The sequence below is a fragment of the Homo sapiens genome, chromosome 6 (assembly GCF_000001405.40).
Source record: "Homo sapiens chromosome 6, GRCh38.p14 Primary Assembly".
NCBI lineage: Eukaryota > Metazoa > Chordata > Mammalia > Primates > Hominidae > Homo > Homo sapiens.
The window spans coordinates 42,132,374-42,142,871 of record NC_000006.12 but is presented as its reverse complement, the minus strand read 5'-3'; the positions used below and the strand labels follow the sequence as shown (position 1 = coordinate 42,142,871).

Sequence of the window (10,498 nt, the reverse complement as noted above, 5' to 3'; positions counted from 1 at the left end):
GGAAACTCACCCGCCTCCTTTCCCGGACTAGGGGGAAGTGGGGTGAAGGAGGCGTGCAGGGAGGAACCTGGGGGAGGGGGTGGCCCGTCTCCCAGGCTGGGCGTGGGCCGGGCGAGGTCCCCAGCCCACCGGGCCGTGCCAACAATGGCCTGTTGTAGAAGGAGGCGGGAAGGAATGCGGCCTGGGGAGCTGGGCGGCGGCGGGGCGGGGCCCGGCCAAGCGGCTGCCTTTTACCTGGCCAGGTAGCTCGCATTTCCCGGCAAGCGGCGGCGCCCGCAGCACCTGTTGCCCGGTGCGCGGGCGGGGAGGACGGCGGGGGACATGGCCTGGTAGAGTCCCCTGGGGAGACCGTGCTGAGTTCAGTCCGGGGCAGGGCAGGGCGAGGGAGGGAAGGTCCTTCCCTGGCGCCCGCGCGGGCTGCGGCAGCATGAAAAAGAAGCAGACGGTGCAGGGCACCTTCAGCAAACTCTTCGGGAAGAAGCACACCACGACCCCCAGCACCTCCCTCTACGCCACCAATCCGCCCTGGATCTTCACCCAGGAGGCCCCGGAGGAGGGGACCGGGGGCTTCGGTGAGTACTCCGGGGACGGAGGGCGCTGGGGCGGGGACGGAGGGCGCTGGGGCAGGGCCGGCGGTGCTGTCTCCTGGAGGCGCGGAGGGGAGGGACACGTTGGAACCTGCGGACTGGCCGAGAGCAGCCGCCGGGCAGGGGAGGAGGCACCGCACAGGGGTGTCTGGGAAGGGCTGTGCGGTGAGAGAGGTGTGGGGAACGAGGGGACCCCCCCCACCACCACGGGGAGGTGGGAGAACTTTGCCGCCCCCACCTCTGACCCCAGGCCTTATTCGGAGGTGTTTAATTCCCCCTCTTGGCGAATCCTATGCTTGTGTTACTGTTAGCGGAAAGGCTTCCGGAGGTTTGCGATATCTCCCCCGACCCCCACCGCTACACCCCCATTCTGGCTGAAGCAAAAGTGTTCCTGAAGAACTGGGGGCTAAGGGGCTAAGAACTCCTCCCTCACCCTTTGCACTCCCTGTTTCCCAAGCCCACGTGGCAGAGAGGGGCCTGCTATCTGGGTGCTCACAAACTTGGCTCTGGCTAGGTGAGGCCCAGGAAAAAACAACAGGCGCAGCTGCTACCAGGTTACCAGCCTGTTTGTGACACCAAGTCACTTATTGGGGCCACAGGCTCCTGCCAGTTCAACCTGGGACCTGGGCTGTCTCTGGGCTAAGACCGAGGAGCCAGAAATGGGACAGTGGAGGCCAAGGAACCCTCTCCCTGACTGCCAGCTGCCGCTGACCCTGGAATCAGACTGGTGTGTCTCTGCAGGCCTCTAAAAGCACCGCCTTGGCTCATCCCCAGGCTCTGGCTGTGGGTCATCTTATCATTGCATCGTTTTGCAATTTGTATTCTCTATAACTAGGGGAAGCCAGCGGCTGGAGACAGAAATCCATTTCTTGTGTATGACATGTGGCTCTGGAACGCCCAGGTTGGGGGGGCAGGGGGCTTCTGGGCCCAAGGAAGGTCACCCATCACTGCTTTAGCTTGCCTGCCTTCATTCTCACCATATTATCTTCACTGATCTTTATAGCCACTGTGCTGGGACCCACAGTGGATGTCATAGCCTTGGTGCCTGCTGTTGGACTCAGTTCAGCATGCAGGTTGCCACAGCCAGGACACAAGGCACCATGGATAGGAGCAGGACGGACAAAGTGTCGCCTCTTCCTGGCACAAAGATATCAGATCAGGGGGTGAACAGAACTAACCATATGCCATTTAGCCCTTTCTGAGCCTTTGCTGTAAATGATTATTAAGCATAAAAGCAAAGAAGAGAGATGACCTCTGAGTGGAACTAGCATTCGAGCTGACAGGAGAGGGCATTCCTGGCAAAACAAACAGTAGAAGCAAAGACCAGGAGGAGCAGGGCAAGTGGAGGCATGGTGTAGGCACTCCCAGACACAGGTGTGCAGGCAAGTGCCTGTGAGCCAGGACACTTCTTTCCCTCTCAACGGAGGCACCATGGAAAGACCATTTATTAATCCCTTCTTAGGTGCAAGATGCCATTCTAAAATCTTTGTGTTACTGATTCATTGAAATCTCATCTAGAGTCAGGCACTATTATTGTCATTCCTGTTTGACAGATGAGGAGACTGAGGCACAGGGAGGTTAAGTAATATGCCCAAGATCATACAGCTTTCAATGCTGGAGGCAGCATTTTTCTAAGTCCACAATTCAATGATTTTTAGTAGACCATTTACACAGAGTTGTGCCATTATCACCACCATCTGGTTTTAGAACATTTCGATGACCTCCAAAATCTCCCTTGTGAGGCAGAACTAGTATTTGAATCCAGGCAGTCAGGCTCCAGAGATCACACTCTTAGCGGGTTTGCTGAATTAACTCTGCAGAGGAAGGCGATCCAAGTTTACTTGAGGGGCATCTGCCTGGAAAATACCACACACATACACACACACACACCCTTCCTCCCTCAAGGGGAGACCTCAGCCATGCCTCTCAGCCACGCCTCTCAGCCACTTCTGCATTTTGCCTAGGCTGTGCAGGCTGCTAGTGGGCATCAGCACCTCTGGTGAGGGAAGAGGGCCTGGTGCCCTGTCATCTCCAGCCAGCTGCTGCCCTCATCAGCCTGGGCAGAGCTGGAGTCCAAAGGACAGCTCCTCCCGTTCCTCAAGGCAGGGCTGGGCCTCCAGCTGACTCAGCTTGGTCTTGCCTGCACAAGGAGCCATGGAAAACATCATGCACCCAGCAGAACAGCGCCTCAGTGTTTCCGGGGTGTTCCCTGGGGTGCCACTGGGCGTGGCAGAAGTCCTCCCTGCTCTGCTTGGAGTTAGGGAGAGGAGGGACCAGTGTTGGGGATTCTGTGATGGGATGCAGGTGCAGCCCTGCCTTGGCATCCTGTCTCTGTCAATACATAGGGCTAAGCACTCTCTGGGCCTCAATTTTTTCTTCTGTTAAAGGGGATAGTGTCCAGGCTGCCTGCAGGGTAACTGCCTGAAGCGGTATTTATGGTAGTGCTTTGAAGAGCATTAAAACAAAAAGCTCTAAACAGGGTGTCCAATCTTTTGGCTTCCCTGGGTCACATTGGAAGAAGAATTGTCTTGGGCCACACATAAAATACACTGACACTAACAATAGCTGATGAGCTAAAAAACAAAACAAAAAAACGCAAAAAAAAACCCCTCATAATATTTTAAGAAAGTTCACTAATTTGTGTTGGGCCATGGGTTGGACAAGCTTGCTCTAAAGCAAGGATTGGCAAACTACAGTCCTGGCTCCATTCTGGCCCATGGCCTGCTTTGAGGAATAAAGTTTTATTAGAACATAACCAACTATGCCCCTCATTTACATATGGTCTATGGCTAGAGTTGAGTAGCTACAAAAGAGACCTTATGGCCTGCAAAGGCTAACATATTTACTATCTGGCCCTGTACAGAAAAAGTTTACTGGCCCCTCCTCTAAGGCATGATTTATTATTGGATCGTTCCCAGCATGGAGCACTTCCTGCCCTTGCCTGCTTCAGCTCCTCTTCCTAACACTGCTGTAGAATAGAGGAAACTGAGCCATGAAAAGACTATTTCAAAGTCTCAGAGAGAGTGGGATTAGAGTTCCATAGGGCCCCTGAGTCTGTGACATTCCCCTCAAGCCTGGGGTGAGATGCTGGCGATATCCAGCCCTTAGAGAACAGGCGGTGGAATGGAAGGGAGGAAAATCAATGTAGGGATGTGTAAGGGAATTAAGGAGTAATCAACTGTTTGCTCTGTGGTTGCAGCCATGTAAAAATCTGTTTGCACAAGGGTAGGCTGGGTACAGCGGGTAAATGCAAACAGTCATGTGAGAGTGGTGATGAGCAAAAAAATTTTCTTTACAGAATTTCTCTAATATGTATTCCAGCAATTAGGAGGGCTTCACTGAATGCATTTGCAATCCTAACAAAGTCTTCTGCCCTCTCCCAGCCCAAGCAAGGCCACACGAGTGTGTGTGTGTGTGTGTGTGTGTGTGTGTGTTTAAATGCATGAGAAAGCAGAGATGTGGATCTTCGCAAATCCCAAGATAAAGGACTGGGCTGTTACTGGAGACAAAGCTGCCAGTCACTCAGGACTCCTCCCTTGCATCTTGGATTAACTGAGCCAAGATTCTTTATCTACCACCGCTGCACCCGCCACCAGCAATGGGACACCCTTGTTTGCTAGAGGACTCTCTTTCCTACCCCGTTCCTCTAAATGGGACAGCTCACAGCTACCTCAGACATTTATTTGAAATGCAGATTCTGGGCTGGGCGGTGGCTCACGCCTGTAATCCCAGTGCTTTGGGAGACTGAGGCAGGTGGATCATGGGAGTTTGAGGGCAGCCTGGGCAACATGGCAAGATCCTGTTGTCTCTACTAAAAATACAAAAATTTGCCAGGCTTGGTGGCATGCACCTGTAGCTGCAGCTACTCAGGAGGCTGAGGCGGGAGGACTGCTCGAGTTCAGGAGGCAGAGGTTGCAGAAAGCCAAGATTGCGCCACTGCACTCCAGCCTTGGTGGCAGAGCGAGACCCTGTTTCAAAACAAAAAACAAAAACAAAAACAACCCCAGCACTTTGGGAAGCCAAGGCAGGAGGATTGCTTGAGCCTGGGAGATAGAGGCTGCAGTCAGCTATGATGGCACCACTGCACTCCAGCCTGGGTGACAGAGCAAGATCCTGTCCTCCCCCACCCAAAAAAATTAATTTAATTAATTTCAAATTCCTAGGGTCCCACCTCAGGCACAGGAAGTCAGAATCTCTGGGCTAGGGTCTGGGCTCTGGGGGTTTTTTGAGACGGAGTCTCGATCCGTTGCCAGGCTGGAGTGCAGTGGCACGATCTCGGCTCACTGCAACCTTCTACCTCCCGGGTTCAAGCGATTCTGCTGCCTCAGCCTCCCCGGCCTGCGCCACCACACATGGCTATTTTTGTATTTTTAGTAGAGACGGGGTTTCACCATGTTGGCCAGGATGGTCTCGATCTCCTGACCTCGTGATCCACCTCCCCCGCCCCGCCCCGCCCCGCCCCGCCCCCGCCCCTGCCTCGGCCTCCCAAAGTGCTGGGATTTACAGGCGTGAGCCACCGCGCCCAGCCTTTGGGCTCTGGGTTTTTAACCAGCTCCAGGGGAATTGTTTTGTGCGGGAAGATATGAGAATCCTGGTATTTCCTTCCCCACATGGAGCAAGGCTATTCTCTTTCCCTTTAGGACTCCCTGCAGGGCACATGGTAGGTTCTACATAAATATGGAAAGAATGTCACCAGCTCCTTATCAGGAGGACCCTCGTGCCCTCTGGTGTGGCTGCAGGTTCTGGTGTTCCTGTTCCCTGGGTCTCCTGACCCTTTGTTTCAGGCCCGGCTAAAGAGTGGGAAACTCCCACCTCCTACCCCGGGAGTCAGGAGCTGAGCATATATTTCCAACCAGGGCCAGGCTGGCACCAGCCTACCAACTTTTGTTTACTCCTGTTCCCTGGAGGTGTGCTGTGGTTTGCCGGCAGTCCAGTGCACACATATACACCCTCCGCCGCCCCATTGTATAAGCTTCTCTTGTCACTCTAGTTCAACTCCAGAAAGCCAGGCCTGCCCTTGACCCCTACAGACCAGCTACAAGGTGCCCCTTCTCTCCTAGCCAATAGAGTAATGACAGTAATGTAATTATTGTCACCAGGCTCTGGACTAAAAGCTTTGAATGTCTTCTCAATTGAGGAAACAGACTCAGAAGCAAGGCTCAGATAGGTGAAATGACTCAGCCATTCCAGTCCGGGGTAGCTCAAACATCAAAGTGCACCCAGTCATCTGGAATCTTGTTAAGATTAGATTTGTTTCGGTAGTTTCGGGATGAAGGGAGAGTCAGCATTTCTCACAAGTTCTGGGGTCTGCACACTGAGTGGCGAGTCCTAGCTTGGAAGCCGAGGGCCCTGTTCACTCTGCTCCTCCCCCTTAGTCCCACCTGCAGGGCTGGGGGGGCGGCGCCATTCTGTTCCGTTTCTGTTCCGTCCTCCTCTACTTTGTGGCTCCCTGCCCCTCCTCCCCTCCACTCCAGTCGAATCTTCAGCATCCCCTCTGCCCTTGGACAAAGGCCTCTCTCTGGTCCTCAGGTCAGGCCTGCTGGGACTTGCTGGGAAAGACTGGCCTTTTTAGGCTCCTGTCCTGTGGACTTGCTAATTAGCAAGGAAAGGCCTCATTAAAGCCATCTGTGAGTTACATTCACATGGGGCCGCCCCCGCTGCTTCCCTGAAAGGCAGGGGGTCCCCTAGTGGCCGATGATTGGATGCCACACTTCATACTTCACTGTCCAGCACCCCCATTCTATATCTACGGTGAGGGAGAAGTAGAAAGAGGTCTGTTTTGGGATTCTGGGTTACTCTTAGTCAAGGCAAAAACTCCCCAAGCTAAGGCCCGAATCCTCCTAAGCCCCAGGAATCCAATTAGATCTGTAGCCGGTGCTCCTGAAGTCATTTAGGGGCTCCTGGCAATTTGGGGCCCCAGCCCTCCTCTCACTCCGGCTAGCTTCCTTCCCTCTCCTGATTTTGGGAGGCTTCCGGAAAAGTATCATCCTCATTTTACAGGTGGGGAAACAGCCCGACAAAGTGTTCAGTGTCCTCAGGTATTATATGGATGTGAATCCAGATATGATTCCTAGGCCCATTTCCTCCCCTCCAGGCCTTACCAACTTTCTTTTTTTTTTTTTTGGATGGCTTACAGGTAAGTTTTTATTTTTTTTTTATTATTTTTATTATTATTATACTTTAAGTTTTAGGGTACATGTGCACAATGTGCAGGTTAGTTACATATGTATACATGTGCCATGCTGGTGTGCTGCACCCATTAGGCCTTACCAACTTTCAAGTCTCATTCAGGAAAAACAAGAGATGGAGGGGAGAGACGCTGAATCCCTACATTCCTTCCCTGCCATGCTGGCTATGACATGAGGGAATCAGAGTCTAGAGTCATGTTGCCTGGCCTGGAATCCCGGCCCCTTTGACTCACCAGCTGTGGGAACTTGGGCAAGGGACTTAACCTCTCTGAGCCTCAGTTTCCTCAACTGCAAATTGGGAATAATAAGGGTACTTCCCCCATGGGGTGGTGAGGGCTTAGAATAGTGCCTTGCTCATAACACAGGCTTAATAGATGTTAGACATTTAAGTATTTAATTAATCAAATTAATTTTCTCTCTAGTTTGGACCTAGCTAGAATGTGGGGAAAGAACTAAATAACTGTCCCAGAATCTTTCTGACCTCAGCTTCCATGGAGATCCATGAGCAGCTTTGGGGCTGAGGGAGGAAGAACATTCCTTCCAACCCTGAACTCTGTGAGCAAAGAAATGCAGAAGACTCAGTGAGGCTCCTCCGCTCGGGGAGCAAGGGAGAAAAGAAGGGCTGGGCGTCCTGTGGCAGCATGTACCTAGCTCTCAGCTCGCCCGGAGCTGGCCCACCCGCCACATTTAACACGTACCCCAGCCCAGGCTGAGAGAGCCAGGTCTGCCTGTTGGGGAGAGGCAGGGAGCCACGTGCCCTGCCATGCGTAAGGCAGTGCAAGTCAGGGGCCATGTTTGACCCCTGCTAGGCAACCTTGATCCAGCCTCTCCCACTCTGGGTTGCTGCAAAGAGGGCTATTCAGCCCCAGGCATCAGGACTCAGAGTGAACCCGAACAAGAAAGCAAAGGGCCCAAAGGGCCGCCTGCCTCCCGGTGGCTCTCCCCAGTGGGGACAGGTGTCACCATGATTTGCAAGTGACACAGCCCAGCTCAAGCTCACAGCCCAAACTCTTGGTGGAAGGAAGTAAGGTGGAGCAGAGAGAAAATGACGATCACAACAATAACCAGCCCTCCCAATTATCATTATTATTTTTTTGAGACAGAGTCTCACTCTGTTGCCCAGGCTGGAGTGCAGTGGCGCAATCTCAGCTCACTACGACCTCTGCCTCCCAGGTTCAAGTGATTCTCCTGCCTCAGCCTCCCGAGTATCCTGAGTAGCTGGGATTACAGGCGCCCACCACCACGCCTGGCTAATTTTTGTATTTTTAGTAGAGATGGGGTTTCACCATGTTGGCCAGGCTGGTCTTTTTTTTTTTTTTTTTGAGATGGAGTTTCGCTCTTGTCACCCAGGCTGGAGTGCAATGGCTCAATCTCGGCTCACTGCAACCTCTGCCTCCCCGGTTCAAGCAATTCTCCTGCCTCAGCCTCTCGAGTAGCTGGGGTTATAGGCACCCACCACCACGCCCAGCTAATTTTTGTATTTTTAGTGGAGACGGGGTTTCACCGTGTTGGCCAGGCTGGTCTTGAACTCTTGACCTCAGGTGATCCACCCGCCTTGGCCTCCCAAAGTGCTGGGATTACAGGCGTGAGCTACTGTGCCCGGCCGCCAGGCTGATCTTGAGCTCCTGACCTCAAGTAATCCTCCTGCCTCAGCCTCCCAAAATGCAGAGATTACAGACGTGAGCCACCACTCCCAGCCAACCCTCCCAATTATTGAGCATAAATATCTGCTAGGCACTGTGCTGATGACTTTTGCACACTTTCTCTCACTCAACCTCACATCAGCCTGCCCAGCAGGGACCACTGTTCACATGTACAAAGATAAAGAGACAGCCTCAGAGAGACCAGTGAGGCTCCCAGGATCCCACAGTTAAGTGTTGGAGCCGGAACTGGAACCCAAGTTCAGCTGGGCTCTAAACCCATAGCCTTGACCCCATAAGGTCCTGCCTCCCGTCCCAGCCAGGAGCTGTTCGACTACTGGGTGTTTCCGGCCAGGGCAGAACCTCAGCCATGGTCTCCTCACAGCCCAGGCAGCCTCAGCCACAACTCTGCTGCCCTCTGGCCCATGGCAGAGCCAGGTTCTCCTGAGGGAGAAGGGGCAGGAGGGGAGCTGCCTGTACCCAGGTTGAAATCTGGGGTGAAGTCTCCTGCTTGGCACCAGGAATTGTTTTTGGAACAGGTTTTTGGATGTTAGATGGTATTAATATTTATGTCAACTCAAATCCTTGAGGGAGTGTAAATCCACCTCCCCCGCCCCGCCCCGCCCCGCCCCCGCCCCTGTCTCCTTCTATGAGGGAGAAATTGTTAGGGAGAAACTCTAAAGTAATCCTATGCATAATCTTGTCATAAATAGGATTCCATTTGGGGGGAAATTTGGTTCATTTAAAGATCAGGTTTGGGTCAATGGAGGCAGACCTGGATTTACCCCTATTTTATCACTGCATTATTTGCATGTGAGTTTGTCAGAAGTTTGTATCTTGACAGGACTGTGGTCCATCTGGGGCTCAGGCCTTGCTCAGAACCTGCTGCTGGGGTCTCACAAGGCTTCCTGGCTGCTGGAATTGCCCCAGGACTCTCTTTCTCTGGAAGCTCCTGGGTCCAGGGGCATCTCCCTTCCTTTTCCAGCTTTCTGAATCCCACCTGGATGTTCCAATGCTGCCTCTGTGGTCCATGCATGTGGCAAGCATAAAACCTCTGAGATCCCGAAGGACTTTTCCAGAAAAAGCCAGACACCAAGGGAGTTTGCAAGTTTCAGAGTGGATGAGACACGGGGCTGTGCCCCTCTTTCTCACTGCAGTCTTGTTCCGAGAGCAAATCATCCAGCCTCCTCTCCAGGCACCCCCTTCACCTCCTCCTCGCCCCTCCTTCCTCAAGGGAAACCAGGATGTTCCTAGCCCTCCTTTAGCTCCTCGACTGAGGAGGGAGCTGCTTCTCAGGAAGGCCTCAGCATCCCTGACCTGTGATCTGAGCAAAGTTCATCACTTCCAATAGGAAATTCCCCAAGGTTGAGCTCTGTTGTCTTTGTTTAGTTTTGGGCCTTGACCTTGAGGCTGGGAAGACCCCAGTTCTGACCTTGAATGCTTTGAGGATCTAGCTGATGGAGATAGACACACGCGCCTCACCTCATGCTGTGCCTCCACCCAGCAGGAGCTAGGCCAGGTCTGAGGGGCCCAGAGAGTTGGCCTGATTGCAGCCACACCTCCTTTTCTTTTCTTTTCTTTTCTTTTCTTTTTTTTTTTTGAGACAGAGTCTCACTCTGTCACCCAGGCTGGAGTGTACTGGCACAATCTCAGCTCACTACAACCTCTGCTTCCCGGGTTTAAGCGGTTCTCCTGCCTCAGCCTCCTGAGTATCCTGAGTAGCTGGGATTACAGGTGCCCACCACCACATCCGGCTAATTTTTGTATTTTTAGTAGAGACAGGGTTTCACCATATTGGCCAGGCTGGTCTTGAACTCCTGACTTCATGATCCACCCACCTCGGCCTCCCAAAGTGCTGGGATTATAGGTGTGAGCCACCGCGCCCAGCCCCACACCTCCTTTTCTTATTTTCTTCTTCTTCTTCTTCTTCTTATTATTTTTTGAGACAAAGTCTTACTCTGTCCCCCAGGCTGAAGTGCAGTGGCGCAATCTTGGCTCACTGCAACCTCCGCCTCCCTGGTTCAAGTGATTCTCCTGCCTCAGCCTCCTGAGTAGCTGGGACTACAGGTGCATGCCACCACAC

The 10,498-nt window shown here is 53.0% G+C and overlaps 1 protein-coding gene across 1 annotated transcript in view, besides 3 other annotated features; it reads left to right on the top strand.

The window, feature by feature from the left end:
• Positions 1-251: 251 nt before the first annotated feature.
• The window catches only part of C6orf132 (chromosome 6 open reading frame 132), a 41,502-nt gene continuing 31,255 nt past the window's right edge, over positions 252-10,498 (top strand). Inside the window, exon 1 of the mRNA NM_001164446.3 lies at positions 252-572. Within this exon, the coding sequence (NP_001157918.1) occupies positions 428-572 (145 nt within the window). The 5' untranslated portion in view covers positions 252-427. The remainder of the gene's footprint in view (positions 573-10,498) is intronic.
• Positions 998-1,677: an enhancer, noted in NCBI's record as "H3K27ac-H3K4me1 hESC enhancer chr6:42108933-42109612 (GRCh37/hg19 assembly coordinates)". NCBI's record gives its function as "activates a minimal SCP1, AML or CMV promoter by ChIP-STARR-seq in primed H9 embryonic stem cells {active_cell/tissue: H9 hESC(primed)}" and the evidence as "EXISTENCE:reporter gene assay evidence [ECO:0000049][PMID:30033119]".
• Positions 5,913-6,610: an enhancer, noted in NCBI's record as "OCT4-NANOG-H3K27ac-H3K4me1 hESC enhancer chr6:42104000-42104697 (GRCh37/hg19 assembly coordinates)". NCBI's record gives its function as "activates a minimal SCP1, AML or CMV promoter by ChIP-STARR-seq in primed H9 embryonic stem cells {active_cell/tissue: H9 hESC(primed)}" and the evidence as "EXISTENCE:reporter gene assay evidence [ECO:0000049][PMID:30033119]".
• Positions 5,978-6,217: an enhancer, noted in NCBI's record as "active region_24542". NCBI's record gives its function as "activates an Ori minimal core promoter by ATAC-STARR-seq in GM12878 lymphoblastoid cells {active_cell/tissue: GM12878}" and the evidence as "EXISTENCE:reporter gene assay evidence [ECO:0000049][PMID:35858748]".